Raw genomic sequence first — 16771 nt, forward strand, 5'->3', positions numbered from 1 at the left:
AGATGTTTTTGGCAGGAGCCCTCATCACTAATTTTCAGGCAAAGGGAAGAATGTCACTTCACTGGATGTTTAACCCCTTTAGAGTCAAGGTCAGGATGGGCTCCTGGGAGGCAGTCAGAGGCACTGTACTTCTTTCGTGTCCCTCAGCTGCTGGTGGCTGCCCAGGAAGGAGGAGCTGGCTTGGGGGCAGGAAGATGGTTGTGGGTGGGGAGGGAGCACTGTTTCTTGCTCTCACCCCTCATCCCCAGACATGTGCTCTCCATCTGGGGGTTTGCAAACATTCTTAAAGGCTGCTGAAATCTTCTTTACCCCCGAGTTCTAACTGGATAGTCCAGTAGCCTAGCTTCTTGGGCCACATCTACAGCTGAACCATCGGGATACCTGCCTCTCAAATATTGGAGTCTCCGATTCGGAGCCCCACCTCCCCTTTTAATGTCTGCTGGTTCTTGGGGAATCTGGTGAAGGCCCCTGGGAGGCCATTTGATCATCTTTTCTCCCACTATCAGGTACCCATGCTTCTTCCTCAAAGTCTTCCATTCTGGCTATGCTGGGGCTCCTGTCACTGTCCAGTGTGGTGTGGTGTGGTGTGAGCCCCCATTTCTTTCCACCTATTGCTCCTGAGATGGAGTCCACTTGTCTGACCATCCCTCCAGGCAGGCTGGGTCCGGGCTGCCGAGTGGGTTCATGGTGGCACACGTGGGACAAAGGAGGGTGACCCAAGGAGCACAGAGCCAAAGGCACTGTCGTCCAAGGGCAGGGAAGAGAGTGAGAGTGCAGTTCTCTGAAAGGCACAGGGAAGACCCTGGGGAAGGAGTTCAAGGAAATAAAATGGTACTGTTCTGGCTCCATGCCCCAAACTATCTCAGAAACAAGCTGGTGAGGGCCACTTTCTCTCACTTCCAGGAGAGATTGGCTTCTGTCAGAGATGCAGAAGGCATCCCTTCCATTCCTGTGAAGGGCCTCAGTCAGCCATGGCTCTCTCCCGTAAGACCCGCAGTGTGTTAAACGCAGTTGCCGTTTTCCCCCACCCAGTCACAGGCACTGCTCTGTCCAGATGTGCAGCAGCTTTGTTCTCTTTGCCACTCCTGGGAGGCTCTTATTTATTTATTTATTTATTTACTGATATGGAGTCTCGCTCTTGTCGCCCAGGCTGGAGTGCAATGGCGCCATCTGGGCTCACTGCAACCTCCATCTCCCTAGTTCAAGCAATTCTCATGCCTCAGCCTCCCGAGTAGCTGGGATTACAGGCGCCCACCATCATGCCCGGCAATTTTTGTATTTTTAGTAGAGACGGGATTTCACCATGTTGGCCAGGCTGGTCTCGAACTCCTGACCTCAGGTGATCCGCCCGCCTCAGCCTCCCAAAATGCTGGGATTACAGGTGTGGGCCACTGCGCCCGGCCCCCACATTTATATTTATGGTCACGTCCACACCAGACATAAAACAATCTCATTAAAAAAAAAAATCACTGAACTCATATCCTTTGAGGGCAAAACCACCCCCTCTCACCATCTACACACCGACTTTAATCTTGGTCATTCAGTTTCTTTTGATTTAAAACATTGTTGATTTGGTTACGTATTTCACCAAATTCAGACCTGACCCCTTACTCTCCTTTTTTTTTTTTTTTTTTTTTTTTTTGAGACGGAGTCTCGCTCTGTTGCCCAGGCTGGAGTACAGTGGCACGACCTTGGCTCACTGCAAGCTCTGCCTCCTGGGTTCACGCCATTCTCCTGCCTCAGCCTCCCGAGTAGCTGGGACTACAGGCGCCCATCACCATGCCCAGCTAATTTTGCTTTTGTATTTTTAGTAGAGACGGGGTTTCACCGTGTTAGCCAGGATGGTCTCGATCTCCTGACCTCATGATCTGCCCGCCCTGGCCCCCCAAAGTGCTGGGATTACAGGTGTGAGCCACTGCACCCAGCCCCCTCCTTCTCCTCTTATCCTTGCATGCGGTGTGAGGGAAATTCTCAGTGCAGTTTCCTGTGTTGTCCTTGTTTTGGAGCAAGGTTGCAGGCCAAGGCTCAGGCAAATCCCAAGAAAGCAGGGTCTAGCAAGACATTGTCCCTCAGTGGACACAGACAGCTGATAATGAAGCCATCTTCACCTTGGCTGTAGGCGTTGCTCCACCAGACTGCTGGGCTCCATCCCACCTCTGCCACCATGGAAAAAATCAGCTTCCCAACCTGAGCCCTGACTCAGTGCCTCCTAAGCCAGGTTCTAGTGGTAGCACCTGGTTGGCCACACTCCAGCTACACGCCCACCCTATGGCCAGCCAGTGGGGGAGGGGAGTATCTGTCCCCTTCCCTACTAACACTCATGTTTTCAGAGGTAGAGCTACCTCCCTTCTGTTTTGGGATTACCACAAATAGAAAAAAGGTTTGGCTTCTGAGTAGCCAAAATAAAAAACATCTTCCAGAGCAGGATAGGGCCTGAGCCAGCCTCTGTCCGACCACCCCAGTCTCTCTCAGCTCCAGCAGAGCCTGGAGAAAAGCCAAGACATTTTCTACAACCCTAGGAGAAGGAGGCAGATGGTGGCTGGGGGTTTGTGTGCCTGCCAGAGATCACGGCAGAGCAGGGCCTAGTCTTGCTAAGGACAATGGTGGGCATGGCTGAGTGTCAGAGGGCCAGTAGTGCAAGAATGATGCTAGGCATGTCTGAAGAAGGAGATGGGTCAGCTTCATGCACCAGCTGCAGACCCTCAGCAGTGGCATCTGCAAAAGCAGAGGCCAACAACAGTCAGAGATCTCCATGTTGACCTCTCAGCTGAGGACTGTCCACTATGGGCATTCTCACTGAGACCCTGCCAGAGATGATCTTTGGTTTAGTTAGCTAAAGATACTGTTAATTTTTCTTAGTTAGCCAGAATTGGCTTTTATTGGGTTTGAAACCAAGAATCTTAATAATTGTGTTGCCCAAACGTGCCATACCACCAGCTCTACTCTCCCGGGGCTCCCATGTTGCTGAAAAGCTAGTTGAGGCAATAATCTCCTTCCAGAATTTTAGATGGGAAGTGGGGCAGCCTACTGCACTGTGCGAGCCTTCAGATTCTTCCTCAATATAACTTGGCTCTCTCAGTCCCTTAAAAGGGACCCAGGTAATGTCCATTCTGTGTCTCCCCACTTACAGACCCTGCTGATGACCCTCGGCAGGGAAATGGTTCTGAATCCTAGCCTGAGACCCTCTTCACACTCACCTCCTCCACTCTTGGACTTTAACAACTCCATGCTATAGTCTCAGATCTCTGGCTCCTGATCATTTAACTCAAATCCTTTGAAATTCAAAGGAAAACCAGTCCTCTTTTAAGCACCCAGCTCTTGGAATTGAGTTCAAAGGCAAGAATTTAGCTCTTTGTTCTGGTTTGACTCTTCCCTTCCTCCTCCCTGCAGGGTGGTGCTGGGAGAAGCTAAGGCTCCCTGAAAGGTGGTGAAAGGGTCATGGGACAGGACACCTGGGAGCAGCAGTCCTTTAGTATCTAAGACATTATACTACTACATTTTCCTTTTGAAGTTAGGTTACATTTTATTAATTATCTCTGGAGGCCTTATTAAATTTTGAAGATTACGGCATGATATTGTTAAAGATGGCTTTACATATGATAACACATTTTAGGATCAGATGTTAAACTCAATCAAAGGACATTCAATCCCAGATGGAGATGCATTTGCAGGAAAGCAGCTCATGACCTTTGCAGCCAATGTGGAGGAGCCCAGCGTCTCTGCTTCCCACACCTTCCCTGCAGCCCCCACTCAGCAGGTTCCTTGGCTGCTGCTGCCCTGCTCACTGACTGTCCTTACTCTTGCCTCTCCCAGGACAAGCCTCTGGGATCTGCAGAAAATAAATTTGTGGCAACAGTGTAGCCACAAAAAGGAAAAGTAGAGCCCCAGTAGAGGAAGACAGGGCCATGGGTTCTTGGTGAAGGAGTAGGCCCATGCCAATGGACACATAACAGAGGCCCGTGAATGACTTGCTGGGGCCTCAGAGGGAGTGGGAGGCCCTGGAGCTAGGGGTCGGGGGAACATTCCTGGGCGGCTGCGGCTGGCAACAGGAGTGAGTTCTGACCCAGTGGGCAGGAGAAATGGGCTTCCTAAGGACAGTGTCCAAAAAGGTGGTCCTCATCAGGTCCGGGTCTGGCTTGGATGGCTCCTGCTCCACTTTCCTCTTTGCCCAGCAGGAAGTGCCTGAGGCTGTGACTGCCTCAGAGGCTGTGATAATGGAGCAGGCAGTGATGCTATGGTGGGTGGGTTGGCTCCTAAGGAACAAGCTCAGACCTGGACAGAGAGGACTGGGCAGGTGGGCAGTGTGTCAGCCCCCTTCCAGGATCTGGTGTCTGGGAGAAGAATCCCCTCTGCAGGGAACAAGATGTAGGGAGATGGTGGCTCTGAGCATCCAGGGTTTCAGATCTCACATCAGGATGCCTAACAAACCCCAGGGCTCAGCCACTGCAGTTCGGTGTCCAAAAGAGGCTGGCCTTCACTGAGGCCTGGCACCTCTGTTCCTGCTGGCCTGGTGCCAGGTCCCCTGGTTTTCCTACTCACTTGTGAAGGGATGTGTGTAGGCCAGCAGAGTCCCTCCTCTGCCCTGGGAGGCCCTGCACAGATGGAATCCAAGGTGGAACCCCTCCTACCAGCCCCCTCATCCCTGGTGTCTCAGAGGGAGGAGGCCCCCAGAACTGTCCTTGGGAAAATTCAAGCAGGAACTTCGTGTCCAGTCCTGCATTCATTAATAATCACTAAAAATAGCAGAAAGCAACTCAAACCCAACCATTTCCCTTAGGCTAAATGAGCTTTTCTCTTTGCATTGGGTCTGACTCTAGGCCTGGACCACAAAACTCAGAAGTCTGGGGAGTAAGTGTGGGTTTCTAGGACAAGGGCATCTGTCAGGTGGATCAGAAGGAAGAACAGATGCAGGAGTGCTCTGTTCCCCCAGGTGGGAAGGGGCATGGTATGAGGATGGAGGGATTTTGGGAAACTTCTCCCTAGGGTCCTGAGGAACTCAGTCCCCCACTCCTTGTCCTCATCAGTGGTGATCATGGGATTGGGACCGAGAAGACAGGGGCATGGGGCTGCTGCAAGGGAAGCCCACAGTATAGGGACTTGCGTCTCCAGTCCTGGTTAACCTCTGGCTCTGGGCAGCCTCAGGCCCACTAGGCTGGTGATGGCATTGGGAAAAATGGCAGAGTAGGATGCTTAAACAAAGAAACAGCTTGAGACACTTTTCCTGGTTCCCTACTGGCTGTGCGGGTGTAGGGAAGGTGGCTGAGGACACATGGGGTGTGGCTGAGAGGCCACAGGCCTGTGGAGCTAACAGTGGTCTCCTCTGAAGATTTCAGGGGCCAACGCTATTCAACACCCCCTGCCCCCACTCACCCAGAGGAAACCAGTGAGGACCTGGAGGGCAAGTGCATACCTCAGGTCTCCCCTCCACAGCCACAGGGACTGTCAATCCCAGTGACCTTGGCTAGAAGGCAGAGGAGGTGACCTGTAAGACCATCCTCTCTTCCCTGGCTAAAGCCACACCTGTGCAAGGATGGGGAACCAGGGAGAGCTGCCTCATTAGCAGAAAGGGACATTTCAAAGAAGATGAGGACAGAGAGGGAAACTAAGACTGCTACTTCTTATTTTCCACTGTTTCCCTGCTCTGATCTCAGGGTGGGGTTGGCATGTCCCGGGCCCCATGGATCAGTTGCTGCTGGGGTCAGCTCCATCCTTAATGTCCCCAGGCTGACCCGGAGGGGTGGGTAGAAGGCATTTCAGAAAGAAAAGCTGAAACTCAACCCTCATGATGAGAAGCCTTAAGCATTTAGTTCTAGCTGGAACTCAAATACCTAAAAGGAAGCCCAGAGAATCAGAAAAGGGAGGCCGCTTTTTCCTCCCCAGTCTCCTTCCAGCTGAAAGCAGCTTTTAGTTCTGCACTGCCAGCCACCTGAAACAGCAAACCCCAGAAAATGATTTATTCTCTGAAGTTAATGATCTGGAACAATAGATTGCCCCAGTCAAAAATCAATTTTTATTATTTGGAGAAGGGGCTGGATAAAGTCTCCTTTTCACTATCAGGCCCGGAGACGACAATCCTGAATTACGATTGTTCAAGGACAAAGCCTCGTTTGGACTGTGGTTTGGGCACATTCGCAATTTTTTCCTTTCATTAATTCTGAAAGCTTAAATCTGTACTTAGTGATGACTTGTGTAACTCTCACTTAAAATAAATCAGTTAGATTTGGTTTCCACCTAGAGAAGAGTGGCCGGGCACTCTTGGATACAATTCCGAATGAATGGTTATTAAGCGGGTTGTTTGTTTCCTTGAGACTGCCCAGAACACATTGGGCTGGCACTGAGCGTTCACAGCAATGGGCTGCCCTCGCTCTTGTAAGGCAGTTGGAACTAGTCCCAGGGCTCTCGTGAGCTGCAGTTCACTGGGTTTTTATATCATGCGGTGATAGGGAGGAGGAGTTGGTGGCTCCTGCTCACCAGAGGAGGAGTTGGAAACCCAGGGGAAGGGGGCAGCCTGGCCAGAGGCTGCAAAGATGGTGCCAGCTGCAGACCCTGCACTGTCAAAGATGATGCCTTCTCCCGCCTGGTGCTCTGAGGCCCCTCCAGTGGTTCCCTTGGACTGAAGAGCCTTAATCACTCTCTCTTTCCATCAGAGCCAGGTGTCCAATTGTCATTCCTGCTACTTCTTACCTTGTCATGGCTCAAAGCTCCTTGGGACCCGGCTTCTACCTTTGCTCCTACTCTGGCTTCCTACTCCCCAGCCCCAGCCCCTTAATCCCACAGACCCTCCATGAGCAGACCATTCACACTTCCATGTCTTTGCTCCTTCTACCCCCTGCCAGGACTGTTCCTGCTCCTTGACTTTAAATCTGGAGCAGTTGTCACCTTGTGAAGGGCTTGGTGTCTTCCTCTCACCTGGGTGGTGTGTGGCCCCCTTGGTCCCCCCATATAACCCCCATATGATCTTGCATCAGAGAGGTTCTCCCAAGGCCACAATCCTTTCTCCCTACAAGGCTCTGATTTTTTTTAATGGGGTATCACTTCATCACCCAGGCTACAGTGCAGTAGCATGATCAGAGCTCAGTGCAACCTGGACCTCCTGGGCTCAAGTGGTCTTCCCACTTCAGCCTCCCAAGTAGCTGGGACTACAGGTGCACACCAGCATGCCAGGCTAATTTTTGTATTTTTTTTAGGGATGGTTGTCTCACTATGTTGCCCAGGCTGGTCTTGAACTCCTGGCCTCAAGCAATCATCCTGTCTTGGCGTCCGAATATCCTGGGATTACAGGCGTGAGCCACCACACCCAGCCTGGCCTCTGAGTTCTTAAAGGCAGCTCTGACTACTCTCTGTGTTCTCATAGCTCAGAGCAGTGCCTGGTCCACTCTTGGGAGGTGCTCCATAGATAGTGAATTTGTTAAACACTGGAAGCAGCATGGCTTTATTTACATTTATTATAAGCCATGAGAAGAGCCTGGCAAACTTTCTTAAATAAAACTAAATTGTCTTTCATGAAAACTCACTTCTGAGAGCCACAGGTAAATATGTGTTTGTTTATTTAAGATGAAAACGTGATTCTCTTGACTGTGAGTGCTAACCCAGAAGGCTGATTAATATCAGCTACACTCAATCAATCAATCATAATTTGAACACTTTACTTCTTGAAAATGGAGTTTCTTTCAAGAAAAAAATATTGAAATAGGTATTGTTTATTTAAGACTTAGCCCTAAACATAAAAAACAATCTTGCAATTTTAGTTGACCGTTAACTTAATGTGAGCTCCTGTGTGATGTGACTGTTAGGAATATACCGTGAATGTAGGCTGCATGAGGAGAAATGGACATGCTTTTGTGGTAGAGACTTTTATCTTTTTTACTTTACCTTGGAAAATATCTGCTCTGTGATAAGCGGAATAATGCTTCCCCCACCAAAGATCCCCATGCCAATTCCTGGAATTGGTAAGTGTTACCTTACATGGCAAAAAGGACTTTGTGATGAAGATTTAAAAATGTGGTAGGAGAGATTATCCTGAATTACTGTGTGGGCCCAATCTAACCCCGAGTCTCTAAAAGCTGAGAACCTCTCTTGCCTGTGATCAGAGAGATGTGAAAATGGAATAAGGGTCAGAGAGGTGCCATGTTGATGGCTGAAGATGGAGAAGAAATCACAAGTCAAGGGCTGTGGGATCCTCCTGAATCTGGAAAAGGCAGGAAAACTGATTTTCCCCAGAGCCTCCAGGAAAGCGGCTCAGCCCTGCCAGCACTCCAACTTTAGCTCAGTGACCCATGTTGGACTTCTAGCCTAAAGAACTGTAAGATAATAAATGTGTGTTGTTTCAAGCTGCTAACTGTGGTAATTTGTTGTAGTAGCAATAGGAAACTAAGATCACTTCTATTAAATCTTAATTAATCAATATCATGAGGGCAACAAAAAGTAGGGGAAGAACAAATGAATGTTTTCTGAGATCCTCCCTGGAGCACTCAACACACTGACCTTGACCTTTTCTGAATTTCAAACTTCTTGTCATCTGTGCTATTCATTTGGCGTTAGATCATGGGCCATTGTATGTGGTTATAGCCTATCTCTTTGTCAAATAAAGGCCTGTCCCTCCTGCAAGAGGCTTGGTCCTTGGGACCACAGCTCAGTGCCTAACGTGGAGCCTCTTCCCTCTGAAATGTGAGGTGCTCACCCCACATTTGTGTGTGATCCCTATGGTCCCCAGGACCATTAGCATGCACTTAACAATAAAATAGCTTCAATATGTATAGTCTGAATGCTGGTGGCTGTTTACTCCCACAGTGGAGGCAGGATCTCAGCCTTCCATGTATGCTTAGAGATCTTGGAGTTCCTAGGAAAGTCAGGTGGGCTCTCAATCGGCCCAGTCCTTTTGTCCTATTCTGGTCTCCAAGTTGAATTCCTTCTGGCTGTTGCTTGAGAGAGGCCCCTCCACTCCCTCGCCTCCCTGCCCTTTTATAAAGCCCCAATTCTCACTCTGGCTGCTGCTTCCCAGAGCTCTCCAAATAGCATTGCTCCCCAAGGGGCTCCACATTATTGCATATGCTTCTGTCTTCTTGAATTCAAGTGGGCCGTGTGCCAGGGAGAAGTGGGGCCCCCCCCCTTCTGTGCCACTTTTTCATCCAGGCCCCGGGAGCCCCGCCTGTGTCTGGAGCCTCACAGCGTACTCATGAAAGCAACTCTCGGCTTTTACTTGCAGTCACTTTTTCCCTGCAGGGTAAGCTAGAATCAAGCTAGCCTTCATTTGTTCATTTCTATTTTTCGCTCTTGCCTAGAAACCCATGTGCCATCCATGCAAATAAGCCCTAGGACAGGGGAAGGGCTTCTGCTGATGGAAGAGGGAGCTGGCTTGACCCCAAATCCCAATTCGAAAATGGTGAGGACCCAGGTTGTGCCATGCATACCCTAGCGCATGCCAGTAGCTTTCGATCTTTAGAAGCTGATTCCATGAATCCTTTGAATTTTCCTGTTTAAACCTTTTTGCTCATGCCTGAGACCCATGTATAAGATTATCAGACACAAATAGGTTGGGCCAGAAAAAAATGTCAGTTGGAGTCTGCAGATGGCACAGAGAGGAAGACCAAAGCGTGGGTCACACTGGCGAGGCACAGGTGTGTGGGGAGCGCAGGGTGAGAATTAAAAAGTGGCCCCAAGTTCCCGGAGTGGGCTTCATGTCACGGACTTGGTGACCTACCCTGCGTGTGGGTCTATTATTTTATTTTTATTTTTTTGAGACAGAGTCTTGCTCTGTCGCCCAGGCTGCCGTGCAGTGGCGCGATCTCCGCTCTCTGCAAGCTCCACCTCCCGGGTTCACGCCATTCTCCTGCCTCAGCCTTCGGAGTAGCTGGGACTACAGGCGCCCAACACCATGCCAGGCTAATATTTTTGTATTTTCAGTAGAGGTGGGGTTTCACCGTGTTAGCCAGGATGGTCTCAATCTCCTGACCTCGTGATCCACTCGCCTCGCCTCCCAAAGTGCTGGGATTACAGGCGTGAGCCACCGCCCTCGGCCATGTGGGTCTATAGATTCTCCATAGTTTCTACTTGGCGGTGCCCTGCGTAGCTTTCTTTTTTCTGTCACCTTGGTCATTGCATCTGCATTTTTAGCACTGTCTCTAAGTTTTCTCTGAATCTGAGTCTTCCCTTTATCACCATGGCATCTTATTCCCATTTTCTTTGCTGATCACTGTTTTCAGTGGGAGGGACTCTTGCATCCTTGGGGCACTTTATGTGTGGGCCTCTTTTTCAATAATTACATACATCATCTCATTTTTCATAACAGTATTTTGAGGTGGGTAAGAGAGATTAACCTGCCCAAGGAACACAGCTGGCGTGAGGCCGACTGAGGATGCCAGTCCGCTTGGTAGGTGGGCTTCATGCCCCCTCCCCCTCCTCTTGTTAGTGACCAGTGACTATTGACATCTTTTATGTAGTAGACATGGATACATTTCCGGCTGTAGTGGCTTCTAAATTGTGGAATATTAGTCAGGAGATGAGTTCTGCTGAGGGGCACTCAGCAGTTGGTTCCTCTAAAAAGAAGATAAGACATTTAGAAAGACGTCTGCAACAAGTGTTGCACAGGGATGGGAGTTACTAATCCAAAAAAATTGAAATAAGAGGACACTTTTAGGCGATGCTTGAACATGGTATAGATGTTACCTAGATGTTAGGTAGTGGAGAGGTGGGCTAAGTTGGAGACTCAAGCTTGTATCTGGTCATGGAGAGCTGTAAGCATTCAGTCAAGGAGTTTTGACCTTTGGTATAAATCTTATTTCACAGCAACAGGGTATGACATGCCATATTCCTTTATTTCTCTTAATCAGATTAAATTTGCTCTCAGACTTCACCTATCTGGCTGGGAGGATACCCAGTAGCAATTACTAATGAGACTTCTTCCTCTCCACCATGGTGTCATCAAAGGATCTGAAGCTTATCTGGTGTCGGAAAAATTTAGAGAGGACCCAGGTTCCTCTTTCTCATGTGATCACGATTGTTCCTCTGGCTACCTAATACAGCTGAGGAGTAATTGTCCCCTCCTTCTGGCAAAAATACTTCCTCTCAGGGCCTGGCGCAGTGGCTCATGCCTGTAATCCCAGCACTTTGGGAGGCCGAGGCGGGCAGATCATGAGGTCAGGAGATCGAGACCATCCTGTCTAACACAGTGAAATCCCGTCTCTACTAAAAATACAAAAAAATTAGCAGGCCATGGTGGCGGGCGCCTGTAGTTCCAGCTACTCGGGAGGCTGAGGCAGGAGAATGGTGTGAACCCAGGAGGCAGAGCTTGCAGTGAGCCGAGACTGCGACACTGCACTGCAGCTTGGGCAACAGAGCAAGACTCCATTTCAAAAAACAAACAAACAAACAAACAAAAAAACTTCCTGTCTGCTGGCTTCTGCTTTTATCCTGAAAGTTTTCACCTTCATCCCCTCCTTTTACATGACCAGCTTTAGTTTAGGATTGCATTCACACACACACTCACACTCACACAAAACTCTTAAGCTTCTCCAAGAGTAGGGAGAGGTAAAGATAAGGAGAGCTCAGAGTTTTAGAAATAAAGCTGGGCTATCTTTCCTGGAGTGGAGATTGGGCAAGGAGGTACTAACACTAGTTAGTTTCTGTCTTAATAACTCCTTTAGGTATTGAGCTAGTCCATGAGATAAGGCGACCTCTCTAGAAATTCTTTTTTTTTTTTTTTGAGACAGAGTCTCGCTCTGTTGCCCAGGCTGAAGTGCAGTGGCACGATCTTGGCTCACTGCAAGCTCCACCTTCTGGGTTCAGGCCATTCTCCTGCCTCAACCTCCCTAGTAGCTGGGACTACAGGCGCCCACCACCATGCCTGGCTAATTTTTTATATTTTTGGTCGAGATGGGGTTTCCCCATGTTAGCCAGGATCCTGACCTCGTGATCCACCCGCCTCTGCCTCCCAAAATGCTGGGATTACAGGCGTGAGCCACCGTGCCCAGCCCCTTTCTAGAAATTCAGAGTAGGAAAGTGACAAGTTAGTGATGGTCTTTGGGAAGATCAACTTGGCATTGCTCATTTTCTGGTTTGCAGTGGCAGAAATGGCATCTTTCCCCAGTGCCTAGCACAGGACCTGCCCTGCAGTCAGAGCTTGATGCGCATTTATTCATGCATGTGTGCATAAAGTAATGGCAAACTATTGCAATGGTGCAGAAGAGAGAGCCAGTCCCTGAGTGATGAACATGACAATGCAAATGGAGACAAATTGCCCAACATAAAATTTCAGAGAAGTGAAAAGACTGACTAGAAGTGAGGAGTGATGGCTGCAATCTCTGTTTAGCTCCCTCCTCCCCGAAATGGGGCTATAATCGCAACCCTCTGCTGGCCTCCAGTTTCTCTGTACTGTGGCTCCCAGCACTTACAGGTACTTGCAGCAGGCAGCAGCCAGAACAGCTGCCTAACAGACACTTCTCCCTGCCCTTGGTGGCTTTTGAATGTGGAATCTGTGGTGGGCTTTGAATCATAGATGTATGGAATTGAGGAGCTGGGGGCTGGGGGACAAGAGGAGATGGAAAAATATGAAAATGATGAGTGAGGGTTCTCAGCGAGAGTGGCATTCTTGACCTCGTAGTCTAAGCTCCAGGCTCTGAGAATTTTAGGAGTAATGTAAAGACAGAGGAGTGGGACCAAGGCAGGCACTCAGGCCTGCAGACTGAGCTAACAGGTGCTGGAGTAGCTGGGAGGCACCAGCTCTGACTCAGCAACTCCTGCTCCTGGAGCCCTCATTGGCAGGGAGCTTAGGGCTGGGGAGGATGGTCTCTGCAGAGGACAGAAGATAAGATAGGCTGACACCTCTCAGAGTTTATGGAAGATTCCAGAAGCCAGGGAAACATGCTTCTACCATCTCAGGGCACTCCTTACCTTCATTGGCCAGCCCCTTTGTGGTAGCTTTTGGGTCTACTGTTGGACCAAGAATGGGAAACATTTTTTTTTTTCAAAGGAATAAGTTTTCAATTCGGTGCTGCAGCCAAGGAGATAGAAACTCAGTCTCAAATCCATCTCCTTGATGGACTAAAACCAGGGTTTTATATAGCAGAGAAGAAATGTAACAATGTGTAAGAAAAGAGGAACTAGGGAGGGGCAAGGAAGCAATCATGATGAATGAGGGGTCCAAAGTCTCATTGTCTGGATGTAGTGATCTGGTGAGTTTCAGTTTTTGATATATATTTTTTAAGAGTCCTGAAAATGCTTTTCTGAGAAAGGAACTCAGATAAAACAAATACAAATTTCAAGCTTTAAAACCAGAAAGGTCAATTTCTATGAAGAACGGGGAACTTATCTACAGTGTGGAAGGATGTTTTGGGCTATTGTCAGAGGCTCTGGCCAAGGCAGTCTGGACCTCATGCTACTCTTTGGTCTTTAGTTGGAGATTGCTGCTGGAGTTCATCACTGGGTTTACCTTCCCTCTCCTCTTGGACACAGAGCCCTTTCAAGGGCCTCTTCACCAAGGTAGGTGTCACAGGTGCTCTGTGGCTGCTTTCATTTGATGCTCTACTTGGTTTTGGCAAGTGGGTTGAAGTCCAGAGCTTTCTTTTGGGGAAGGACTATGGCATCAGATGGCAAGAAATACACTGTACTCACCTCCTGCCCGAGAAGCCTTCCCTTATTGTCCTTTTATGTGCTCAGATCTCCCTGAAGCACAAGATATTTCTCTCCTAGCCTTCTGCAGGTCAGTCTGCCATCCACATGACACGTTGATTTCAGACATGAGTACATACTCAGCTAGTGAGTGGTCAAACACCATCAATGATAGCACTCTACCTTCATAATGATAGAGGCCACGCTGAGCTTATGAGCATAATAAAAAAAAGTAGCAATAAGCAGAGTTGGTAGTGAAGCTAGGGGAGCACACATTTTGTCATGTGCCACTGCTGTCACTTCCTCCTCCTCTTCCCTCCTTTTCCTTCTCCTTTCTCTCTCTCCCACCTTATGTCCCTCTTTCCTGTCACTTCCTCTCTCTGTCCCTCTTTCTCTCTGTCACCCAAATCATTGCTTTAGAATTTCTTTGTTATTTCTGGGACTTCTTGGCCAGTTGCCTAACCCCGCAGATACAAACAATTTCAATAACTTGGGATCCCAGAAACACAATGGCAAGGTTACTGGTGGGGCTGAACATTTAGAATATGCAGGAAGGTGATAAGGCTTCTGCACAAGATTTCATCATGAGCCTGTCTTGGAATGGGGCATGGCTGGGACCCTGGGGGTGGTGAATGTTGGGGCCATGGCTCTGTCCTTGCCTGCCTTGGTCTCAGGCACAGTACTTTCTCTGATATATCATCGTAATCTGCCCCAAAAATCAGTAAGTGAGGTGTTTTAAGAGAAGAGTATATGGACACCTATGTATCTGTCACCTAGATTCAACAACTGTTAACATTTTGCCAAATGTGCTTCTTGCTCTATTTTTTTCCTAAACCATTTCAAAGGAAATTGCAGGCATCAGAAAACTTTACCTCTAAATACTTTAGCACATGTATCTAAAAATAAAGACCTTCTCCCATGTAACCACGATACCATTTTTCATATCTGAAGAAGTTCATAAAACCCAGTATCATTTAAAACCCAGTCCATATTCAAATGTCCCCAGTTGTTCCCCAAATGACTTTTTAAAAAATATTCAATTAAGTTTTGTGCAATGAAATGTTCCTTTTTTTTTTTTTTGTAAGGATGTTGACACTGAGGCCTTCTCCTTCCCCTCTACCAGAAGTAAATAAACTTGCCTTAGTGAAGAACTTGCCTAACTTGCCTTAGGAAAGTTTATTCACTTCCGATGGGAGGCAAGAGGGAGATCTCAGTTTCAGCCAGTAGGTGGTGAATCTGGGGTCCCTGGCCATGGCTGTGGGAATCCAAGTCCACACATTCTACCATATTGGAAGTACCTAGATCTGGTTTCCACAGGGCAGTCACATTTCCAAAAAGAATATTCGATACCAGTCCAAGGTTGCCAACATTTTATTCTGCTAGATGCAAGCATTAAAAAAAAAAACCTGTTATCACCATCATTTAACATTAAAATAGACGTTTTAATACCAAAAGCAAGGATATAGTTCCAAAATATAGCAAAGTCTTGCAGAAGTCCAGGAATCACAGGCCTGGGAGGAGAAGATGCTACACCCACAAGATGGCCGTGCTCTTGGGTTAGGGTCTGAGGACCCAGTAGTGATGGGGGAGCTGATTTTTTGGAGATGAGGCCATTGATTGCTGCCTGAAGACCTTAGAGATTTTCACATGAACTGCTGTCACTCTCTATTCTCCTGTCCTCTGCAGGTGCAAATGTTGTTTCACCACCCCTGCCCTCCACATTTTATTATACAAATGTTCAAACACACAGCAAGGATGAAACCATTTTACAGTGAGCATTCATATTCCCACCACCTATATTCTGCCACGACCATTTAATCAAATGGTTTTAGTGCAAGCCCAGTCCTTTCTGTGTCTCTGTTCAGTTCCACGTAATTGGAGCTTTCCTGCTCAGCTGTGGGGAGTGTTTCTGGATCCTGATTTCCTCTGGAGAAGGGTGGCCCTCCCTCCAGGTTGCATCATTTCTGTCTGAGAGGGGAGATGTGATCGCATGCTGGCCTCCCACCCTGCGTGGAACCTGACTATGAGCTCGTATTGCATTCACACACTCACCTAACTACAAGCTCCCATTTCATTCTCACAACTGACCGTGAGTGTCTATTTCATTTGCACACTCTCACTGTGTAGGATGTAGGTGTTATTTGCAGAACTGTCAATGTGTTGGGTGAAGGTGTTGGATGAAGGTGTGCATTTGCATGGTGAGGGCTGGCCAGTTCCAGCCCACAGGTCAGAACATCCCTCATGGATTCTCTTTTTTTTTTTTTTTTTTTTTTTGAGATGGAGTCTCGCTCTGTCGCCCAGGCTGGAGTGCAGTGGCGCAATCTCGGCTCACTGCAAGCTCTGCCTCCCGGGTTCACACCATTCTCCTGCCTCAGCCTCCTGAGTAGCTGGGACTACAGGCGCCTGCCACTACGCCTGGCTAATATTTTGTATTTTTAGTAGAGACGGGGTTTCACCATGTTAGTCAGGATGGTCTCGATCTCCTGATCTCGTGATCCGCCTGCCTTGGCCTCCCAAAGTACTGGGATTACAGGCGTGAGCCATTGCGCCCGGCCCCCTCATGGATTCTTTATGGTCAGGCACCCATGGTGGCTTCATTCCTACCCTGGTCCTCATCCTCAGCTCCATCTTCCCATAGGCCTGGCTGAGGTGAGACACTTGCCCCTGTTTCTGCTTTAAGTGGTTGATCATTGAACTTTGCTCTCTAGGATGTGCAGTATTTGGGATAGGGAAGGGCATTACATTGAGCAGAGGCCATGATTTCTCACCCTGCCAGCTCCTCCAAATTCTGTGTTTGGGCCATATGTGCAGGCAGCGTGGCCCAGCCCTGTGCTCCCCCATGGGACCTCTTAACCTTCCGACAAGCTCAGGACTGGACACTGCCTTGGAAGATGGGCTTGTGTGCCAACGGACCTTCATTTGCCAGGAGGTGTCTGGGGCTTCTGCCTGTTTCCGTCTTGCCACAGGAAGGTGGGCGCTGCCTCTCTTGATTTGTACATGTGAATTCATCTCTCACAGCCACTGCCTGGAGCAGTGGGTCACAGGCACGTGGAGAGAAAATGTGGGACCTACAGACATGGGGTCCAGGAGCATGGGTGAGTGGAGATGGGTCTCCAGCCTGGGGACCCAGCATGAGGGAAGAGGAACAGATCTAGAAAATGCAATG

General features: G+C 48.7%; 4 annotated features.

The window, feature by feature from the left end:
- Nucleotides 2816–3613: an enhancer, noted in NCBI's record as "OCT4-NANOG-H3K27ac-H3K4me1 hESC enhancer chr10:86347199-86347996 (GRCh37/hg19 assembly coordinates)". NCBI's record gives its function as "activates a minimal SCP1, AML or CMV promoter by ChIP-STARR-seq in naive and primed H9 embryonic stem cells {active_cell/tissue: H9 hESC(naive and primed)}" and the evidence as "EXISTENCE:reporter gene assay evidence [ECO:0000049][PMID:30033119]".
- Nucleotides 3633–4147: an enhancer, noted in NCBI's record as "H3K4me1 hESC enhancer chr10:86348016-86348530 (GRCh37/hg19 assembly coordinates)". NCBI's record gives its function as "activates a minimal SCP1, AML or CMV promoter by ChIP-STARR-seq in naive H9 embryonic stem cells {active_cell/tissue: H9 hESC(naive)}" and the evidence as "EXISTENCE:reporter gene assay evidence [ECO:0000049][PMID:30033119]".
- Nucleotides 4148–4661: an enhancer, noted in NCBI's record as "H3K4me1 hESC enhancer chr10:86348531-86349044 (GRCh37/hg19 assembly coordinates)". NCBI's record gives its function as "activates a minimal SCP1, AML or CMV promoter by ChIP-STARR-seq in naive and primed H9 embryonic stem cells {active_cell/tissue: H9 hESC(naive and primed)}" and the evidence as "EXISTENCE:reporter gene assay evidence [ECO:0000049][PMID:30033119]".
- Nucleotides 6018–6519: an enhancer, noted in NCBI's record as "H3K4me1 hESC enhancer chr10:86350401-86350902 (GRCh37/hg19 assembly coordinates)". NCBI's record gives its function as "activates a minimal SCP1, AML or CMV promoter by ChIP-STARR-seq in primed H9 embryonic stem cells {active_cell/tissue: H9 hESC(primed)}" and the evidence as "EXISTENCE:reporter gene assay evidence [ECO:0000049][PMID:30033119]".

Source organism: Homo sapiens, chromosome 10, assembly GCF_000001405.40.
Source record: "Homo sapiens chromosome 10, GRCh38.p14 Primary Assembly".
NCBI lineage: Eukaryota > Metazoa > Chordata > Mammalia > Primates > Hominidae > Homo > Homo sapiens.